The following is a 22512-nucleotide window of genomic DNA, read 5'->3' as shown; positions in this document are numbered from 1 at the left end:
CAAATGTCTCTGGAAAGACAAGAAACTGCTAATAGTGGCTGCCAGCAGGAGCGGATGGGGGGCCGAGATACACAGGAGGGGTTATTTCACCATACGCCCTTTGGTAGTATTTAAATCTGTTGCCACATGCACAGCTTTCCTTTCAAGAGTAATGTTTTAGTCTGTTTTGTGTCGCTATAAAGAAATATCTGAGGCTGGGTAATTTATAAAGAAACAAGGTTTATTTGGCTCAGGGCTCTGCAGGCTGTACAAACATGGCACGGCTTCTGCTGAGGGCCTCAGGAAGCTTTTACTCATGACGAAAGGCAAAGGGAAAGTAGGTGTGTCACATGGTAAGAGAGACAGTAAGAGAGATGCCAGGCTCTTTTAAACAACCAGCTCCCACATGAACTAATAGTGAGAACTCACTCATTACCACGAGGAGGGCACCAAGCCATTCATGATGTATCTGCCACGGCCCAATCACCTCCCACCAACCCCCACCTCCAACTTGGGGGATCTCATTTCAACACGAGATTTGTAGGAAACAAATATCCAAGCGATATCAAGTAAATAGGCACATATGATGTCCCTAATCTTCCCAGTTCACCATGCATACCTCCTGGGTTTCCATCCCTGCCCTGAGGAACTTCATAACCACTTGGGGAAAGAAGGCCTATGGGTGGAAAAATGAGTGAACCCTGCAGATGCAGAAGAACTCAGTGCTAAACTCCCCATGCAGAGCCAGAGTCCTCGGCTGAGGCCTGGAGGTGAGCTGGGGTCAGGACAGATTGATAAGGGATGGGGGCAAAGGGGCGACCAGGCCCAGAGGGGCCAAGTCCAGATGTCCTGGAGGCTGGGAGGACCTCACTACCCCGGGAGATGCACGGGGGTCTAGCGAGAAGGTCTTGAGTGCAGCTCTGGCAAGGAGACAGTGTCCTTGTAGTCATCGTGAGAGCAAACTCTCTCTGGCCTTCATCAATACCAGAAGCCTTGGCTAGCTGCCAGCCTCCTCTGCTCAGCCATTGAGCCAATAAATACTTGTTGGCAGATCAATTAAACCATCTAGGAAAGACGTCTGGAAATACAGCTTCCTCGGCTCCGTGCAGGGGGAAAGCCCTCTCAGCCAGTTAGGCCCAAGATACCTGTATTTCCACGCTCCACCCTGTGAAAGTCAGCCCTGACACTGGCGCCCGTTCTGTGGGGTCAGGCCATGCTCAGTGGTGGGCAGGCTTGGGCAGGTTGGCCCAGGCATAGGAGGCAGAGCTGGGTATAAGCACAGCTGTGTCATTTGCTAGCTGTGTGGCCTTGGGCAAATTCGTTACCTTCCCAAGACAGTTTCCTCATCTATAAAATGGGGATAATAACAGCCACATTGCCTCATGACTTATTGCGACGAAAAGAAAAAAAAAATGAGTAAAATCCTAAGCCCAGGGCACAGAACATGGATGGGAGCCAACAAAAGTGTCATCAATGCCCCCAAATCAAAGCTGCCAGGGACCCCAAGGCCTCTTGTCTCTGTCTGATACTCCCCTCTTATTCCTGTGTCACTCACATACCACTCACCACCCAAGAACTCCGAGATGTGAGACAAAGCCGTTCTGTCAGCCCTCCTGCCGCCTGCATGTGGAGAGAGGAGCTGGGGAGCCACGGAGCAATTCCAGAAAGCAGCCCAGAGCAGATTCCAAAGGCCTGGCCCACCGCAGGGGCCCACACCTCACAGCAGTCGAGACATTTGCAGTGACATTCCCCTGTTAGTGATCAAGCATGCCTGATCCATGGCCACTGCTGGGGATGCCTTTATACAACTTAGCATTTCAGAACACCCTGCAGAGTTCCATGCTGAGCCAAGAGCTTTGAGGGCTGGAGGTAAAGCCAGCCAGAGGAGGAAAAATGACAGGGACAGCATCTCAGAGACTCGCCCAGACTCACTGCTGAAGGCAAGGACCTGGCCCTGGGCTGCACGGTCACCAGCCAGATGGAGCAGATGCTCCTGCGCATTCTCTCCCTGCCTTGAGGGTAAACGTCTCCACAAGGTGCCCGTGTCTGCCTCCATTTGAATCCAGGCTCCCTCAGTTACTCGTAGTGTCGCCTTCAGCAACTTACTCAAGCTCTCTGTGCCTCAATTTCTTCATCATACACTGAAGATGATAATATAGATAGCACTAGTGCAAAGAGTCATTACAAAAATTAAATTAATTAAAATTTGCAAAATGGCCGGGTGACGTGTCTCACGCCTGTAATCCCAGTGCTTTGGGAGGCAGAGGTGGAAGGATTGCTTGAGGCCAGGAATTCAAGACCAGCCTGGGTAACATAGTGAGACATTGTCTCTACAAAAAAAATTTTTTTTTAAATTAGCCATTACCTCCTGAGCCAGTTTCATTCATATTTATATATATGCCAGGAGTGGTGGCATATCCTTGTAGCCCCAGCTACTCAGGAGGCTGAGGGGAGGATCATTTGAGCCCAGGAGTGAGAGGTTACAGTGAGCAATGATTGCACAACCGCACTCCAGCCTGGGTGACAGGGTGAGATTCTGTCTCTAGAAAACAAATGAACAAACAAAAAACAACAACAACAACAAAAAGAAATTGTAAAGTGTTTAGAATACCACCCCCCTCACCCACTCAGACTAAACACTACATAAGTATTAGTTGTTGCTATTGTTGCTATTATTATTATTATTATTTGTGCCCTGGACAACCCCTGGGACAGCTTCTCCATTTGCCTGGCCTTGGCTCCATACTTCTCAGTTCACTTAGATGGCAGGGCCCCTGTGCGTCCTGCAGCTCTTTGTAGTTAGCTTTGAGATGCTGAGCCATTTCACTCCACAGTGTAGCAAAACAATTCCACTTGCAGAAGGTTTGACAATGTTATGCATTTGCAATAGGAAATCACACCTCCAGGAGTTCGTGCCCTCAGTGAATACATGCTTCCAGAGTTAAACGTAGTGAGCCCTTTCTAAGTCTTGCTTTTACCGTAATAAAAATTCAAAAATTGAGAAAGTGATATCCATTACCTTACTTTCATCATGTTAGAGGAAAAGCCTCTATTAAGGCCATTTTGCTTTAAGCCACAGGTGAACCCCAGAATTTGCCTCAGTTCACCTAGTTAATCAACACAGGGGCACCAATTGCTATGTGTCTGCTCTGTGCCGGTGAGCTTTATCATCCTCATCCTTTTTCAAAGGAGAACACTGAAGTTCAGAAAGAGGAGGCAATCGCCAACAGCCATTTGTTGAGTGCTGGGGCCAGGGTCTGACCCGGCTCTGTGAGGTGCCCCGGGCAGAGTTCTCTCCTCCTATGATCCTGTGGGGAAGTAACCCCAGAGAGTTGGCCTGCCTTTTGCTTCCAAGGATGTCTTTGACTCTGGTCCCTCACACACCAATCAAGTCTGAGTTTGGGGACCTGCCACCATGTCCACAACCGACATTAACTCAGAATCCTTTCCATGCACAGAATCCACCTTGGGTCACCTTCCCTGCTCAGAGACTCCCTAGAGCCAAACTAGTCCCAAACCCAGGGATTCATGGTGGACTTCAGCCCAGGACACAGGCTATAGGCATCACACAGTCCCTTCCCAACTATCCCTGCGAGACTCCACTGCAGCTTCTCCTATGGCCCACTCTGGAGTCAGAGATTGTCCCAGGCTGGCCATGAATAGGCCTTTCAAGCCCAGAGAAGCTGAGCTTCCCTTTTCTGCAGTCACACCCCTGTCTGAGATACAGAACATTACCCCTACCTAGAGAACAGGCTAGTGCTATAGCAGATAAGCCAACCCTATCACTGAATGGAAGATGCCCCAGGCCTGCATCCCATGACATCTGGCCTCTCTTGCCTCCTAGATTCAGTATTCCAGATTCAGCCAACCTGAAAAATCACTGCCAGTAAGGAGGAGGTTAGAACACTTCACATTTTAGTTCCACCAAACTTGTTCAACCACCTGAAGGACCCACAAGCTTAAAATACCCCAAACATAACTGCCTTTCCTCACCCAATCTCCATGAGGTAGGTCCCTGCTCCTGATTCCAATATGCATGGCCCCACAGGCTGCAACCCTGTTAGCATCTTGGCTTTGCACCTGAAAACCAGGCAACCAATAAAGCCCAAGTGAATTAATAGCCAAGAGGAAGCCTACAACAGGAGTGTAACTCTTGGCTCTGGTAGCTCCCACTGGGTGTCAACGTCAGGCCTTAAATCTCAGCTACCATATTATTGGTGCTACCACACAAGAGCTTACAGCAGCAAAAAGGGGACCTGATACTATCCCATTTTGCAGATGAATAAAGTGAGTCTTAAGGAGTAAGAGTGACTCACCAAAGACACAAAACCACTGAGCACTTGGAAATAAGTCACATCAGACTCCAGAGCCTTGGTACACCAAGGCCACTCTTCTAGTCCAGTGATTAATTCCAGCAAATAAATTTTCCAATTCCATTAAATAAAGATTGTTTGTTGTTTCTGTTGGTTTTCTCACCACTGGGATTTGCCTGGTCACTATGTCTCAGAAGGCTCCAGACACTTTCCACAAGGCACTGTGATGACTAAATTAGCCCTTCTCAGGGACATAATCATCAGTTCCTAGATTTAACCCATTAAACAGAGAAAATGGAACAACATTTTGCCATTCAATGGCAATTGTAGGCAACAACCACGGAAATAAAATATGAGCAAGAATGTCGACAATTATGCCAGAGTGCTGAGCATACCAGCAGCCACTTTTCCATTAGCCTGCCACCCTTGGAAACCATCAAATGTCCCCTTCCTGTGCTCCAGTAAATGTAAATTTTGCTTGAGTAAAATCTTGTCCTTGACTTCTTTTCTGGAGAAGTGTTACTCTTTTCTGGAGTGTTACTCTCAGTCCCTCATCTAAAGGGGAGAACATAGGAAACGAGTGGACTTCAGGGCCATCAGAACTGGGGGGAACCCTGATTCTGGCTCTCTGTAGCTCTGCTCTTAAGTTTTCTTATTTCTAAAAGGAGGATCTGCCTCAGGGGCTGGTAATTACATCTCTTATTTAGAATGAATAAACTGGAAATTCTAGCTTTCAGCGCCACCTCTGAGAGCTTCATTGGGGTGTGGCAGGAAGTCTGGATTGGTGCTAGTGGGCTGATGTTGGGGAGTGTGCAAGCCCACAAGTGCCTGGCTCCTGGCCCCTCAGCTGGGATTCAACTCAGGACAGGCAGCCACGTGTGCCTCTGTCCAGAGGCCACCCTGTCTCCCTGAGTGACTCCCTCCCAAAACCAATAACCGTCTTTGTTCCTACACTTTTTATCTTGCCGGATGGTTGTGTATATTAAATGAGAGGAAGCCATAGAGTTGTCAGGGGTCAACCCCAGCAGCTTGTGGGCTGGTTTGTAGCCTGCAAGGGTATTTTGTTTGCCCATATAGACTTTTCAGCAGCTGTCAACTTTAAAAATTGGAACAGTTCACACAAGCTAGATTTCTGGGCTCTCTTGGAAAAAGTCACAAGATTCCACAACCCAGGGTTTTCATTCCCGTGAGATGACAGTCGGCTGGAGATAAGAGGCAGCTGTCCCCTTTAATAGTTGGCCCATAAGCGCTGGAATTGGGGTGTTCAGCCTCTCAAATACAGTAGATGGCCAATAAAGGACGGTTATCAGTACTTATTACTTATCAATAACTTGAGTACATGGCATTTAAGTGCAGGGACTGGGGACTTGTCACTGTCTTCCCATTGTGACTAGCTTGGGTCATTTGGTACAACCTTTGTACAGACTGGAAGATTGGTAATTGGCATCAACACTCAAAGCCCCTGTTGGGTGCCAGTCACTGTTCTGAGCACTTCACACATGTTATCTAGATCTTCACAACTGTGAGCTAGATTACTATTACTTTATTTGATCGTTACAACTGTGAGCTAGATTACTATCATCGTGATGCTTTTGCCGATGGGAGAACTAAGGCACAGCCCCAAATCACCAAGCCAGCAGAGAGTCAGGATTGAAACCCAGGTCCTGACCATTCCTCCACATTGCAGGATCCTCCCAAGTGGCGATGGAGGTGTGGCCTGCCCAGCTTCCCTAGGGCCTGGCAGCCTCTGAAAGCCCTGCCCCCCAGCCCAGCACAACTTACGGTCAAGGCCGTTGATGTAGCGCATGGTGACTTCACAGTGGCCCCACACGGCACTCACCACCGGGTACAGCTTCTTGCCCTTGAGACCTCGGAAGGCCACGCCCAGGTACTGGCCATCCACGATGAAGCTGAGTGTGCCCTCATCCATGTCCAGCACCACGAGCAGCGAGTCGGGCAGCGCAAAGGCCTCGTCGGGCCCCAGAAAGGCCGGGTAGGCCACGCCGGGCTGGTTCTTGCCGTCGTGGTAGAGGCGGCTGCGGCCCAGGTCCCAGCCCCACGACTCGGCGTCACTGCCTACCAGCGCCGTGTAGCCCACGGAGTGCAGGGGAGCACGGGCCGTGGCCACACCAACTACAGCGTGGGTGCCGCGCTGCCGAGCCGGCCAGTTGATCTGCCAGGCGTGCAGGCCGCGGGCGTGGCCCACCTTGCCGCGGATGCCGTCGGTGCTCTGGGCCACGGGGTGCCGGTGGAAGGTGAGCCGGTCGTCGTCCTTGACGAAGACGTTGAGCGAGCGGTCCTCGGGGTTCCACGCGTGCCGCAGCTGCACAGCCAGCCCCGCCGCTGGCATGTCCAACAGCTGGTCCAGCCGCGCCGGCCGCCCGGGCTCTGCACCCCGCAGCTCCCGCTTGGCCGGCCGCAGCGCCGGCTCTCGCACCTCCACTGACTTGAGGCTCCCCGAGAGCTTCTGGCCCATGCTTCACTGCGGGGAGGAGGCCGCTGCAGGCCACCGCTACCTCGTGGGAGCCTCCACTCCCCGTAGCCAGGAATGGGCCACGGGGCTGGGAACCAGGCTTCCGGACGGTAGACCTCCACAGCCTCTACCGGGCTGCGGCAGGGGCCCAAGCTCCTGGAAGGAAGCAAAGGGCACGGGTTATAGCAGCAGCATCAGCAGCCAGTTGCCAATCCCTTCATTTATGTCCATGCCTTGGCTGAGCCCTTTGCATGCACAATAATAGTAATAATTCGTACACTCATATCTGGCACTAATCTAGCACCTGCCATATGCCAGTGTTCTAAATTATTTATGTTTATTAGTTTGTTTAATCCTTAACATCTCCCTATAAGAGATATACATTATTATTCACAATTTACAGATGAGAACACTGAAGTCAGAGAGAGGATAAGCGATTAGCCGAAGTCCCACTGCAAATAAGTGACTGAGCCAAGATTCAAACCAAGGTCATCTGGCTTCAGGGTCTGTGTTCCGGACCTAGAACAATCATAGGGAGTCTGATTTTAGAAATAAGGCGTGAGCCCAGAGCAGTTGTGACTTGCTCAAGGTCAGAGCCTGGATGAGAACCCAGGTGCTTTTGATCCCAGGGGACAAGCCTTGTGCCAAGGCTGGGGGGCACACAGCTGCTCAAGACACAGGGCTGTAGGGTGTGGCCCATTGGTTCCCAACCCTGGAGTCCTGGGGAGCCTAAATAACCTCCTAAAATGTAGCCAGGCTTGAGCGGCAAGACACAGAACAAGGTGCAGCAGGGTCACCAGGGACATGGACATCAGGCAGCGTGGGAAGATGGGGTGAGAGCTCCATGGGAAGGTGAATGGAGGTCAATAGAGGTGAGGAGGAAGGATAAGGGAGCCGGTGTCCAGGCTCTGGAGCCAGACAGAACTGCGTCCAAATCCCTCTCTCCATCTCCTACTGTGGGTCCACAGGAAAGCCTCCTAGCCTCTTGGATACTCCAGATTTCTTGCCAGTAAAAAACATGAGGATAAAACACCTCCCTCTGGTGATGGGGGAACTTGAGAGACCATAATATAAAGGGTCCTGGAACTCTGCCGACAGGTTTTCCTCTCTGGCTCTGTTCTCTGGGCATCCCATGTGGATCCCCTCCCTTTGGATGGGTGAGCTCTTTGTTCGATCAGGTAAATACCATTAACAGCACTGACCCCAGACTGCCTTCCCTGAGACAGGATCCTGGTTTTCATGGAGAAGGAATTGGCCACCATCACTAGGAAACCAGACAGAACCCAAGGAGCTCGGACTACTTGGACGGGCCCTGGGTATGGAGAGAGATGGAGAGCCAAGCCCTGTCCAGAGCAGAGGCGTGTGCCCTCCCCTCCCTGGCCTGAGAGCTGCTGGGCCTAGAACAACTTCTCCTGAGCCAGATGAGGAGATGGATGGGTGTTTTTCATGCCCTGCCCTCCCCAGCCTCAACCTCCCACCCAGACAGTGGTACACCCCTAGCCAAAGTCCAGGTAGGGACGAAAAGAACTCTGCTGCCACACAGCACAGACAAGTATCCTGTGGGTTTTTCACCATTCCATTTTATTCTTAACTCTCATACTCTTCCCTCTCTATTGTCAGATCCCAGCTTCAGCAGATGTTGACCCTATTCCGAGAGCTCTGGCTAATGTTCAATCTGAGGGAATACCAGAACACATAACAATTTGCAACACTAGGCAGTTTTAAGATAGCAGAATAAAGTTACTCCTTTTCATATCCGAAATCACCCAAAATCCAGGAGAAAAAAAGAAATGCAAACTCCTTCTTCAGCAAACTAGAACACATTTATAACCTGAAACACAGCTTATAAGGAAAGGCTGCCCAAAACAGGTAAGGGCTACCAAAAGCAGTGAAGATCAAAAATACTGTGAGAAAACACCTAGAGAAGACACCTGTGGTGGCAGATCTCAGACAAAGCTGGCAGAGCCAGCCAGGAGCTGGCATTCCCTGAAGGAAAAAACTAATGATCCCTTATCAGAAAAAATGGGAACAGGGCATGTGGTCTGGTAGTGGGAGCTGCCTCCTACACCCTGGGGGAAGAGGAGGGCAGGGCCAACAGAGGAAACCACAGACCCGCCATCTTCACAGGAAGCAGTGTGTTGGCAAGGCAGAGTGAGAGGAGGGCTCTGAATTGGGAGAAGCCCACAGCTGCAGAACTCTGCTGACAGAGTAGAAGCAAAGACTAAAGGAAGTCACTACAACAACCCTGTGAACAAAGTTCCTGGGAACCAGGGAGCAATCCTGCCCTCTTCTTGGTACCTCCTCCACATGTGTCTCCTGCAAAATGCTGATCCAAGAAGGTTTACCTCTTTCAAAGAGGAACCAGCACAGGATATAGTCAAAGATGCTATAGAAGAAAGAAAGGAATAAACGAACAGGACAAAACATGGCAAACCAAGCAAACTCACCTGAAAAAAGCTGCCACAAAGCAGATAAAAATGGGAACCAAATTTGTAAACTAATTTTGTGATTGATTATTTCAGAAGGGAGACACCTAGCATGGTCTCAACAAAAGATTAAATCCATTTTGGCTAGTTATAAAGGTAACCTCCAGAACTAAAAATAAAAATACACATCTTGCAGATACAAACCTTGAACATAATACAAAATAAAACAGATCATATACTGAAAGATTTTGTTAGAAAGCAAGAGAGGCAAAAAGGCATAAAAGCATGAAATATGATAGTAAAACTAAGACCGAAATATTGACCATGTCATTAAATGGCCATAGTAAACTGCTAAAAAAAGATTATAAGACTGGGGAAAAACACAAAACCCCCAACCATATGCTACATATAAGAGACATTCCCCAAAGCAAAGTGATTTAACAATTTTGAAAATAAAGGAAGGGCAAACACATAACAGGGAAGTGTGAACTCAAACTAAGCAGGCACTGTAATCTTAATATTAGGCAAGTAAAGTTGATTTCAGGACAAAAGGTTTTAAGTGAGACAAGAATACTTAATAATAATAAAGAATGCGATCCACAATTGAAGACCGAACTCACCAAATAGCACCAAAATTCAGAGCAAAAGCTAGAGGAAATATAAGGAGGGGCCTTAGACAGACACACATCAGAGGCATGTAATTTTAATTTCCCTCTTCTAGCTCATGATGGACCAGTGGACCAAAATTAAGTAAAGACATAGAAAAACCAAATTACATAATTAATAAGACAGATCTAACTAATGTGTTCATCAAATTCTATACCTTGAAAACAAAGAATGCATGTTCTTTTCAAGTGTTCATGGAATGATCAAAAAAATTTTCCTGTATATTAGGTCACAAACAAAACTTCAAAAAAAGCAAAAATAATACAGTATCTGATAACACAGAAGGAAAACTAGAAATTAATCACAAAATTATAGATCACAAAATCCTATCACTTAGGCATTTTAAAAAATTCTTTAAACAACTTGACCCCAACTCAGATCAAAAAAGAAATCCATATAGAAATTGCAGAATATCTGGAATACAACAATAACAAAAAGCATTCCACATACTAGAACCTGCGGGGTGCCTCTACAGCAGTTCTCAGAGGAAATCATGGCTGATATATTTATGCTATTAAATTTTAAAAAATGAATGGAGCATAATAAAATAGGGAAATAATAGAACTAAGCAAAAACTAAAGAGATGGTTCTTTGGGAAAAACTACCACAAAAACAAAACAAAATCAATAAAACATATAAACTATTAAAGCTAATCATGTAATGTATCATATTATATTATGTTATATTATTATATTACTATTATATTAATCTATCATGTTGATAGTGTGTACCCTTGATATGATATAATGAAATCTTCCTTTGGGTGTCTTCCCCAAAACCCATAACCTCACTCTAATCATGAGAAAAACAAAGGACAAATTCCATCTGGAGGCCATCCCACAAAATACCTGACCTAACCGGCAAGGTCATCGGAACCAAAGTCTGAGAAACCATCATAGTGAAGAGGGCCCTAAGGAGACCTAACAATTCCACATAATGTGGTATCCTGGATGGGATCTGGAACAGAAAAAGGATATTAGGGGCTGGGCTTGGTGGCTCACACCTGTAATCCCAGAACTTTGGGAGGCCAAGGCAGGTGGATCATTTGAGGTCAAGAGTTCAAGACTAGCCTGGCCAACATGGTGAAATGCTGTCTCTACTAAAAAAATAAAATTAGCCAGGTGTGGCGGCACACGCCTGTAGTCCCAGCTACTTTGGAGGCTGAGGTGGGAGGACTGCTTTAACCCAGGAGGTGGAGGTTGCAGTAAGCCAAGATCGTGCCACTGCACTCCAGCTTGGGTGACAGAGGGAGACTCCATCTCAAAAAAAAAAAAAAAGAAAGAAAGAAAAGGAAAGAAAAAGAAAGAAAGAGAAGAAAAAGGATATTAGGTAAAAACTGAAATCTGAGAAAAAAAGGAAATCTGAAAAAATATGTTAATAACAATTATTAATATTAATTATTAAAATAAGTTAATAATAATGTATCAATACTGGTTCATTAGTTGTGATAAATGTGCCATACTAATGTAAGATGCTAATAATTGGGGAAACTAGGGTGATAAATGGAGTGAGCATATGGGACCTCTCTGTACTATCTGTTTAGTTTTTCTTTAAATCTAAAACTATTCTGAAGAAATAAAGCTCATTAATTAGAAAAGGTTAAATAAATGTCTAAATTTTAGAGAATACAAAAAAAGGACAAAAACTAGAATTCACCTCTTTCTCCTATCTCATTAACCAGATATAAACATTGTCAGCTTTTGGAGGAATTTTGCTTTATTCTCTCTTTTTTTTTGGTCTATAAATTATAATGAATTTTCTTTTTAAAAATTGGTATAATGGGCCTTTATTTAGATTATTTCACCTAAAAATTATGTAATTTGCATTTTCACATATCACTAAATATACTTTAAATGCATAAGTAACTAAATTTTTAAAAACACATAAAACATAAACCATATAATCATTTAATGGGGGAGAAGACAGAAATATGTAAAACAAGAAATGAAAATGGGAAATAACAAAACGGTGTAGCTGAAAGCACTTGTAAAAGAAGTTAGACTTGTTTTAACATAAGAAAAAATTTGCAACACAAATTACCAACAAATATATGTCAAACTCCTACAAATGAATACAAGTACAAAATATGAAAAGATATCAACAGTTTACACAAAAACAAATGGTTCCTTTGAAAAGATACTCAATGTATACTGAAAAAGAAATGAGTTAGAACTCCATTGAAATGCCATTTTTGTCTATCAGCTTATTAAAGGTCAAAAAAATGGATAACGCATGCTTGGAGAATGTGTGGAACAGAAGACAGACTCATACATTGCTAAAGTGGATATAAACTGGTTTAGCCTCGGCAAATGGCAAATTAACACCATCTTTCAGAATTGCAAATATACAGACCCTTTGACCTAGCAATTCTACTTCCAGCATTTATTCAGATATGTTCTCAAATGCACAAAACTACCTATGTACACAGCACATGCATACATACTGCATACATACGCAGCACTCTTTGCAATAGCAGCCCGGGCTCAGAGAGGTTGCATAACTTGCATAACCTGGGGTCACACAGCCAGGAAGTGGCAGGACTGGGATCAACCCCAGAGTTACCATATGACAAGCCTGTGCTCTTACTTCTTCCTCCATGTTGTTTAGAATAATGCCCTCTCCACAGCAATGACTGTAACCAGCTCTGTGTGGCCCACACAGAAAATTTCTAAGGGAAACTGCTTTATCCTTGCACACAACCATGCCAACTGTGGAGTTGCTGTTGCTGAAAAGACACTTAAACATGTTTGAAAGCAACAGCCAAACAGCAGCCCCAGGGAAGACCTCTTACTAGTACTTGGCTTGGCCCATACTGGGTCATTGAGGGCCCAGTGCTCTCCTTTGCAATCATAGTCTCAAAGTCTCTGTCCCTACTAGAGGCAGGCAGAGATCCTGAAGAGTGCTCACACTGTGGTGTGACAAGGTGGGCAAGTAAATAGACAGCCCCTTTGCTGCTCCCCCAGTACAGGGCGCACAGCAGAGTGCTCATGTCCATGAATGATAAGCCGTTAAGGGAAACTAGCAGCTGGGCAATCTAATGAAGGACAGGAGACCTAGATGTGAATCCCCACCTGTCTGTTGGACCCTAGGCCAGAACTTAATCTCTCTGAGACTGGTTGGAAGTGCTGCTAACTATGTGCTAACCTCACCTGCTTTTGCAAGTATCAGAGCAGACACCTGTAAAGTCTGGCACATCACAGGGCTTCCAGTAAGTGGTGAGTGCTCTTTTAAATTGTGGATGTGTTCCAACATTGCCATTTCACCACTTGAATGTGCCTGGCTATGAACTGATTGTGTCCTCCCCAAATTCACATGTTGAAGCCTAATATAGGTTGGATATTTGTCCCTGCTCAAATCTCATGTTGAGTTGTAATCCTCAGTGCTGGAGGTGAGGCCTGGTGGGAGCTGTCTGGGTCATGGGGGTGAGTCTGTCATGGCTTGGTGCTGTCTTAGGGATAGTGACTGAGTTCTGGAGAGATATCTGCTCATTTAAAAGTGTGTGACACCTCCCCACCCCCGCCTCTTGCTCTTGTTTTCACCATGTGACATGCCTTCTCCTCCTTCACCTTCTGCCATGACTGTAAGCTTCCTGAGGCCTCTCTAGAAGCCAAGCAGATGCCAGCACCGTGCTTCCTGTAAAGCCTGCAGAACCGTGAGCCAACTAAACTTCTTTTCATTATAAATTACTCAGTCTTAGGTATTTCTTTATAGCAATGCAAAAATGGCCTAACACAAAGCCCCAGTGTGATAGTATTTGGAGGTGGAGCCTTTGAGAGATAATTAGTCCATGAGGGTGAGCTCCACCTCCTCTAGGAAGCCTGCCCTGATCCAGTAGGCCTCCTGGGGCCTGCCCTGTACCTCTGTCCACCCTTGAGCCAGCCAGGGGGACATCTTTCAGGCCTTACTGATCTGCTTTTTTCTACCTTGAGGGCATTCCTCTGATGGCAGGAAACTTTCACCAGCACTTCTGTGCCCCCAGCCACTGCACTACTCCCTCCATGCAAGACACAAGCCTGGTACTTTGAACATGGGGCAGAACACACATATGGACTGTGGAGAGGTTGTGCTGGGCTTCAGGGAGGGCTCATGCTCTGCTGTTTTTCAGAGGATGAAGCAGAGAAAGGGCCAGGGCTAAAGTCAGGATATGGGGACATGAAGCCCAGTAATGCCACTATCATAGTTGGACTCTCACTCCTGAGCAGCTGACTCTTGGCTGTATCCAGTCTACTCCTTTATTAGCTACTGCTTTGCATCCTTCCCTGCTTCCAACCCTCATTTATTCGTTCAAAAAATGCTTAGTGAACACAGTGCCAGGCACTGTGCAGCTGAGAGCAAGGGACACAGCAGTGGCCAAGTCGGGCTCATCCCTGCCTTCTCTCTCCAGCCAGAGGGAGTGGGCACTTAGCACATTTCTCCTCTCCTCATCTCCACTACAGCATGCAGCACTGGGCCAGGCACATGGGACATACAACAGGATCCATCTTCCTGACAGGAATACCATCATCTCTCAACCCAGTAAGCAGCCAGCATCCTGAAGAACGCCAAAGGATGCCTCCGTCACTTTTCCCCAAAACCAAACTTAATTTCCTACGTCATGCTTGGATGGGGATGCTTAATGACATTATCCAGAAGGATCTGCTCTGGGGCTTCAATCATGGCTGAGCAAGAAAACAAAAACTCTAATTTGCTAATTGCCTTTCCCAGGACCCTAGCAGATGTTCCTACCCGACAGGGAAATGAGGAGACATGAAGTGGCAATGCCACACTGTTTAAGGAACCTCATTAGTTTGAAAAATATGATGCACAGTCTTCAGAGGCCTGGGACCCAAAATCACAGCCACAGAGGCCTGTCTAGCTGAGCTCAATAGGCACGGGGTCTGCAAGAAGACATGACTGCTGTGGGGATTGGTAGTGACTGCGTGAAATGCCCTTCTCTCTGTGTGGCCTCTGGCTTTGGACTTGCTGGAGCCAGAGGTGGGGGCAAGTCTCCTTCTTTCATCTAGCCAGCAGTAATGATGCCTGCCCTGGGGATCTCAGGCTGCTGAAAAGCATAAGACTCAACCACTTTCCCTTAGGGAGACAGCCTACACCAAAGGGGTCAGACTCCACGAGAGATCTGAATAATGACAAAGACTGTAAAAAGAAATCCAGTTAGATACCACTGGAATTCCTTTATAGACTGCATATTACTTTCAAATATATACTACTGCACTTGTAAAAGTACACAGTTGATCTAATCACGCTCCTGCTCAAAATCCTCGACAGGTTCTCTGAGGCTTTCAGGATATTAGATATTAGTGCCTCTGGGGAGCTCCCCAGCCCCCTGTGCTCTCAGAGCCCTTGTACTTGTGCCCACCACAGCTCTTATCACAAGGGGACATGATGTCTCTTTGGCTGCCTCCCTCCCATCGGACTGGGGCAACTTGGGAGCAGGGGCCGGGTGTCCCTCATCAGAGTCCCCATGGACCTGGCTTAGAGAAAGTGGTGGGTGAACGTCTATGGAATGCACGAGCACGAACAAATGAAGAAAAGCAATACACTGCCTTAGAAAGAACCAACACTTAAGAATGAACTGGGAATGCAGAGCACTGTGAGCTCAGACTATTTATTTCATGTCTTTATTTTTCAATTTTTGACTCTGTGCAAAGGTACCAATGATAGGTGCCTGACCTTAGTTTAACTGGAATGTTTTTAAGATTTTTCTTGTGCAAATATTAAGTAGGGAGGCTGTTTTATTAAAGATGCTCATTCAGAATGAACCCACCAACAATGAATGAACTAAAGAACCCCCAAGGTTTTGTTCATAGGCATTCATTAGCTTTTCCCTGCTATACACACATGGAGCTCAGGCTACAACTGGCTGGGCAAGCCCTTTCTTCCCCAAGAGCTCACAAAGAGAGCCATCTGTCCAGTTCCAGGTGGAATCATCTCACGCCTGTTTTCCTGGAGCGAGAATCAATGAGGCTTCCCTGAGCCTCTCCTCCTCCTGGGGTTTCCATGGGAATCCTCCCACGCGTGACTGAGCCAGGGGCCCCCAAGGTGCAAGCTGGGCTGTCAGCCAGCAAGGAGAGCAGCAAATGGGATGAAGGAGGTTTGCTAGGCTGTGACCAGGGCAGCAAGCTCTGCAAGGTCATTTGAAAGAGACATACCACTGAGACAGCAAGGCCACGTGCAGTCCGGGCCAGCCCGGTCACCACAGCTGCCCCTGAGCCCAGAGGCCTGCCCCAGGCACATGTGGAGGTTGTTTGCAGGGCAGCTGGATTCCCTGAGGCCCAGCATGTCTGGGCTGGGTCAAAGCATGAAGGGAGAAGATGGGAAGGGTACCATTTAATGAAGCCCTCTGGGGAAAACGATGATGAAAACATGATAAGGTTTGCGTCCAATCCCTCATTTACCTCCCAAGATGAACCTTCTCCACTTGGTATAACTGGTTGTCTGGAAACAGAATGCCTAAAAGAAAAGCAGAACTATTCATGCCTCTGGCTTGAGCCAGGTCATAATAGGGACCTGCTGGGATTTCTGAAGATCCCTCTGTTAAGCCTACAGTATCTCTGGGGGCATTTTTGAGATACTAAGGAGGAAAGGAGAGAGGATGAGAGGAAGAGAGGAGAAAGGGAGCAGGATCGGGGAGGGAGCTGCTCCAGCCCCAGGAATCTGTACAACTTGCACATTTCATAGAATGCAGATAACAGGTAGATGTCTCCTGAAGGTAGATAACAGGTAGAATGTCTCTGTGGCCAGTAAACCGGGCCAAGGCCCACTCACTTCTGGAGAAAGCAGAGCTCCAGTTCACCATACATGACATTTCACAACATTAAAGGTCAGATGGATGACTTTGGCACTGCTCCAGCGTCTCCCACCACACATACCAGCACATTGAAGTGTAGAGCTTACCACAGCAGCTTTCCTGCCTCCTCCTGGCTCCAATGTCTTCCTGCCTACCCCATCAATGGGGCACCCCCAAGTCCATTGCTTCAACTTCAGTTTCCGCTTTTCACTCTCTCTCTCCATGCATCTTCTCTTATGACCTGCATCTCCAGCCCCGTGCAGACACTCTCAAGCCGGGTCTCCAGTGCTGCCTTCTCTCCTCAGCACAAGACCTACCTACTAGAAGCCCCTGGTCAGCCCTGCCTGGGTGTTGTTTCAAATGACCTTGTAAGGCCAGCTGACCTCTTTCCATCATAAGCCTCCTACCATGGGCACACCCACACTCTCAGCCCTGCGGGACATCTGTGGTCCATGTGCACCTCGGAATCTGCAGGTCCTAGGCTGAGCCTGGCCTCTTCCCTCTCTCACATGCCAGGTTCCTCTGCATGTCACTGTTCCTGCCATGGATCCCGTCTCTTGGTCCCCACCACTCAACCCCGTCAGCTTTCCCCTAGTTCAGAACTTGCCTGGATTACTCCACTGGTCTCTTAGCAGGCTTCCCTGACTCCACTGTTTGCCCGCCAACCCACTCTCCATGCTGCCAACAGGTAAGTTGGACCAAGACACCCACCAATCTCTTCATTCAACCCTCCAGGCAGCTTCTCCAGAGAGAAGCTGCACCTCTTTGCTTGGCACCCAGGGGCCCTCCAGGCTGCTCTTATTTCTTCCACACTGTCTGTCATCACGGCCCACCTCAGACCAGTCATGCCAGACTCTCCTCGTCAGCACATCCTGGGACTCTTCCCATCTTCTCTGACCTGGCTGACATTCTCTCACTCCCCTGCCCCTTCTAGCAGAAGCAGAACTGGGCACCCCTCCGTGGCAGCCCCTCAGCCCACTACATCCTCTTCCCTCCGCCCCATTATGTCCTCTTGCCTACGTCCCACTGCACCCTCTGCCCTCCAACCCACTTTGTCTTCATCTTAGCTGTTGATTCCTGCTGCTATCTCTTGCACCACATCTGCATTTCTTAATGGAGCCAGTGCCCAACCAGCCTTTATCTCCAATACTCGTACACAGCCTTGTACCTGTTACCTCTGGCTGCATTAAGACGTGCTTGTCAGACTGAAGAAGGACTAGCCACTCTATACCTCCTGCATGGTTTGCATTTTTTTTTTTTTTTTGAGACGGAGTCTCGCTCTGTTGCCCAGGCTGGAGTGCAGTGGTGCCATCTCGGCTCACTGCAAGCTCTGCGTCCCAGGTTCATGCCATTCTCCTGCCTCAGCCTCCCCAGCAGCTGGGACTACAGGCGCAAGCCGCCACGCCGGGCTAATTTTTTGTATTTTTAGTAGAGACGGGGTTTCACTGTGTTAGCCAGGATAGTCTCGATCTCCTGACCTTGCGATCCCCCCGCCTCGGCCTCCCAAAGTGCTGGGATTACGGGCATGAACCACCACACGTATACATTTTAAATGGAGTAAGTTCTGAACTCAATGTGTGAAGCAAAAATCACATGCAATCAACACTGCTTAGGAAAGTTCTTCTAAAGTTCCACACAAAGTTCATGATAACTGGTTTGAGGTATACCACCTCTTTCCCAAAGGGCACACCACCCACAACTGTTTTTCCTATAGCCTCAAAACAAATCCCTATTTCTTGAACTGATCAGCAGCAAATAAATTAGTTGGCTTATGTAGGAACCATGTTTTATTAAAAACGTGTTGCTGGTTTAAAAATTTTTTATAGTTGATCTTTTCTTACCACAGATGGTCATGTTCACATAAATCAAGAGTACATACTATGTACTTATATAGTACATATATAGGCAGAGACTTCTGGTGACCTCCATCTACGGCCTGCCACTCCCCTGATTTTCATGCCCAAGACCCTTCACTCCTGTATCAACAGAGAAAAAACCTTTCTAGAGCATGGATGTGTGACAACAGGTCGGGCAGCTCAGGGGAAATTAAGTAACTCCTGTATGGTGAGTTGTACTAGGTCTTTCCCCAAAAGGGCAAGGAATTCTGCACTGGCCACTGTGGCTTGGCCACTTTCTGGGATAGAAATGAAGCCCTTCCAAGGACAGTTCTACGTAAATGATGAGGAAGTTTCAGTTGTATGAAAAACTAGGAGGAAAAGTATTCTAGGCAGGGGAACAGCAAGTGAATGAGCCTTTGGAGTGTTGGAGTAAAAGGAAGAAGGCTAGGAGGGTGGGTAGTGGGGGAGAGGAAAATGGTGAGGAAGAGGTGGAGAAGGGCAGTACCAGACCTGAGGACCCCTGGGATCATCTAGATTTTACTCTGTGGCAGCCTTAAGGAGGTCCTGAGCTAGGGAGAAATGTGATCTACATTTTTAAAAGATGCTTCTGATAAATGGTTATGACTACTTGCTAATTTGATACATTAAAAAAAAATCTTGTAATTTTAACTTGCATTTTTCGTATTGAGGTAAGGTATCTTGTCATATGTTTTGGTATCATTTCTATTTTATTTCGCATGTATGAATCGTGTCTTTGCCCATTTGATCTTTTGTTTGTTGACCTCAGGAATCTCTTACATATTTAAAGAGATGAGCCTGTTGTGATAGGAGTGGTATATGTCATATGTGACAGTTTGTCATATATCTTTTGACTGTTTCTGGTGATTTCTTTTCCTTGCAGATTTTATTTTTATATCATTAAATATATCTTTAAAATAAACGAGAAATACAAACTGGAGAGATATTTGGGTAGAAGGTCCAGTAAGTTGAATTTTGTTTGTGATTTGCCAAAGGTGGCTTAAATTCTTTTCATTACCATTTTTAAAAATGGAATAAATTAGAGGGTATGTGTCTCAGAGGAATATGCCCTTGGGTAAAGGATGTTTATATCATGCTTTTACACATTTTACGTCTTCCAGACTTAAGCTCATCAAATTGCGCGGGTGGGGGGCAGGGGGCCAGAAAGGGGGTGGGAGGATAGAGGGCTCAGAGTCTGAGAGAAAGGAACTCCTATCTTCATCCCCCAACCCCCCAAGGAGGAGAGTGGGGCGCAGAAGAGGAAACCAAGCGGGGGGAGGTTAGAGAACTTGCCCAAGGTCACACCGCGAGCTGGTGGTGGAGACAGATTCGAACCCAAGCCTGACTCCAGAACTGAGAACTCTCCACCTTCTCGCGACAGCGGTACAGAAAAGTGCCCTCCTCTCCTTCCTGCCGGCAGCCGTCTGCGCTTGGCCATGGGCCGGCGGGAGCAGCCACTCCCCCGGTTCTCCCGCCAGTCAGAGGTCGGGGGCTCGGCGTCCCCTTCTGGCTTGGAGCCCCTGGCGCGTACAGAGCGACCAGGGCGGACACATTTGCCGCGCTCAAGTCTCTGACCCCCTCCCTCCTTCCCAGAGCCCTGCGCCTAGGGTTTCCTGAGCTCCCAACCCCCTCCCTTCCCGAGCATAGACAAGTTTGTATTCAAGCAAGGCCAGGACTGGTCCCTGAGTCGCTCTCGGGCCAGGCGACCAGCCTCACTGCCCCAGAGTCAGGAATAAACGGTAACAACAGCCACCGGTGCCTATTGCGTGACCCGTGCTTTACTTCCACCTCTCCGAATACCCCGGACGAACAGACCCCCAGGAATTATTGTCCCCATTACACGGACGACGGAACTGCTGCAGCTTCGGAAAGTTGGATAACAAGCTTGGGCTCGCAAAGCTAATAATAATACTAGCTAACATATGATTGAGTGTTTCCTGTGTGCCCAGCACATGTCTACCTACGAACACCATCCCATAGATCTTTCCAATACCCCTATAAAATGTGCACAATTATCATTCCCATCCTACGGATGAGGAAACAGGTTTGGCGCCCTGTCCAAGGTCACTCAGCCAGTGAGTGACGGATCCTGGATCCAAACCAAAGCGGGTGAATCGGATGGCAGTTTTTTGTGCGTTGTCCGCTACGCAGAGAAGCAAAGGGCTTAGAACCCATGATACCAAAGGCCGGGCCCCAAACGCCCCAGGGCTGCGCGCAAATCAACCATCTCGAACTGCCACAACCTGCAGAGAGGAATTCTCAGGGACTGGGACGTCAGGAGCGCCAGCTGTGTCGAGTGCTGGCCCGCACAAAGTCCGTGCAGCCGGATCTCGGCTCCCGGCCCCCGCGCGCCCCTCACCAGGAGCTGGAGAGTACTTACCATAAAAGAGAGGGCAAGCGCCTGTTCGGGAAGAATCCCCAGCGCTGGCAGGTCCTGGACTCCCTGGAGAGGGGTCTGCTGCCGCCGCCGCCCACTCAGGGGCGCCCGAGTGACCCGCAAATGCCGGCTCTCTCCGCACGGCCAGGGGCGCGTCCTCACGGCTGATGCCCGGCAGCAGCGCCCCCTCTGCGCTGCAGGATGGCCTGGAGTTAGGAGCGTTCTTGGCGAAGTTGGCGCTCAGGCGCCGGGGGTCGGGCCTGGAGTGGGGAAGCGCCTTACTGAAGCGATCCTGGGGGCGCTCCAAGGCCCGCGCTCTAGCCGCTTGGAAGCTTGGCGCCTGACCCGGAGGGCGACGAGTCCCGCGCTCAGGGCGCACGGGCCGCGCCTCGGCCGCTGGCCCCCGGCGCGCCGGGCGTCTTCCCCAGCGCCCTGAGCGCACGCAGCGGTAGCAGCAGCTGGGGCCCGGGCCCGGGATGTGGTGTGTTCATCGCCCTCCCCTGGGGCTGGGTGCTTTTGTGCGCGGGGCGCGCCGGCCGCCACGGCCAGCTCTGGATGCTGCAGCCGCCGCCGCCTCCCCCTCCTCCGCCGCCGCCGCCCGCTCCCCGCCTTCCCGGCCGGCCCGGAGGCTGCAGCTGAAAGCCGATCTGGCTGAGCTCATCCCTGAAGGCCACTAATCCAATAGCCGCGGAAGGCGCGGTCGCCGGGAACGCCCCTTCCCCCACCATCCCGCGCCCCGGCCGTCCCAGCTCGGGCCGCTGCCGGCGCCGCCACCTTCTCGAGGCCACCAGCTGGCGGGAGAGGGAAGTGGAGCCCGCGCCCGCGCCCCTGTGCCAAGGCGGCGGCGCGGTCGCCATTCACTCACCCGCCCACTCGCCCGCTCACTCCCTAGCTCTCGCATTCATTCCTGCGCGCGGGTCCTCCCGGATTCATTCAAGCGCTCCTGGAGCGCCAGGGTGGGTGCCCCTGACGGGGAGGAGACACCCAGTCACTAGGCAGCTTTGGTGCCTTTACTCAACGCACGTGGGAAATAGCAGCCAGGAGGAAAAAAGGGTGGTTTATTATCCCCCTTCCTCAGACACACACGTCCACACTTTATTTTTGAGATCAGGCTCCAACTCATCTCTTAAAGTCCAATTTCATACCGCACCTGCTCAAGGAGCGTTCCCCGCCCACCCGAGGCGCAGGAAGTCGGTCTCTTTGCTCTACCAGCGCTGATGGTGGGCCGCCTCATTGGGAGCCTGAACTGAGCGATGGGGTAAAGGGCGTGGCCAAAACAGAAGCCTCGAGGGTGCTTCTGGTATCTGCGCTTCCTTGGGGAAATTGAAAGTTCTTGGTTTGGTGGCCCTCGTCTGTGCTCCCAGAATTGACTTTAGGTCCATTACGCAGTCATTTGCTAACCCAATCCCTCTCTGTGCCAGGTACCAGGCAGAGTCTAGATGCAGACAGAGTCTAGATGCAGACAGAGTCTAGATGCAGAGTGCGCATTTCATCAAGGACATGGAAAACAAGTAAAGACAATCCAACTCTATGAAGGAAACGTTTTGAGAGAGGTTCTGGGGCGAATTTGTCAGACTGGAAAGGGCAACTGGGAATGTTTCCTAGTAAATGTGTCTACATGAATTAGCTCCTGGA

General features: G+C 48.7%; 1 protein-coding gene across 3 annotated transcripts in view, besides 2 other annotated features; it reads right to left on the bottom strand.

Moving 5' to 3' along the window:
- The window catches only part of SPSB4 (splA/ryanodine receptor domain and SOCS box containing 4), a 97265-nt gene extending 75739 nt beyond the window's left edge, over window positions 1-21526 (bottom strand). For all 3 annotated transcript variants that reach the window (XR_924215.4, NM_080862.3, XM_017007509.3), the window contains exons 1-2: window positions 20881-21526; window positions 6075-6921 (exon numbers count right to left, since the gene is read on the bottom strand). Coding sequence is in view for 2 of the 3 variants with exons in the window: in NM_080862.3 (NP_543138.1) it covers window positions 6075-6768 (694 nt within the window). In the remaining variant the exon portion in view is untranslated. The remainder of the gene's footprint in view (window positions 1-6074; window positions 6922-20880) is intronic.
- Window positions 1403-1945: an enhancer, noted in NCBI's record as "OCT4-NANOG-H3K27ac-H3K4me1 hESC enhancer chr3:140789770-140790312 (GRCh37/hg19 assembly coordinates)". NCBI's record gives its function as "activates a minimal SCP1, AML or CMV promoter by ChIP-STARR-seq in naive and primed H9 embryonic stem cells {active_cell/tissue: H9 hESC(naive and primed)}" and the evidence as "EXISTENCE:reporter gene assay evidence [ECO:0000049][PMID:30033119]".
- Window positions 1946-2489: an enhancer, noted in NCBI's record as "OCT4-NANOG-H3K27ac hESC enhancer chr3:140789226-140789769 (GRCh37/hg19 assembly coordinates)". NCBI's record gives its function as "activates a minimal SCP1, AML or CMV promoter by ChIP-STARR-seq in naive H9 embryonic stem cells {active_cell/tissue: H9 hESC(naive)}" and the evidence as "EXISTENCE:reporter gene assay evidence [ECO:0000049][PMID:30033119]".
- Window positions 21527-22512: the final 986 nt, after the last annotated feature.

Source organism: Homo sapiens, chromosome 3, assembly GCF_000001405.40.
Source record: "Homo sapiens chromosome 3, GRCh38.p14 Primary Assembly".
In the NCBI taxonomy this organism is placed as follows: Eukaryota; Metazoa; Chordata; class Mammalia; order Primates; family Hominidae; genus Homo; species Homo sapiens.
Note: the sequence above shows the minus strand (reverse complement) of the source record. Positions and strands in the feature narration are given on the sequence as shown.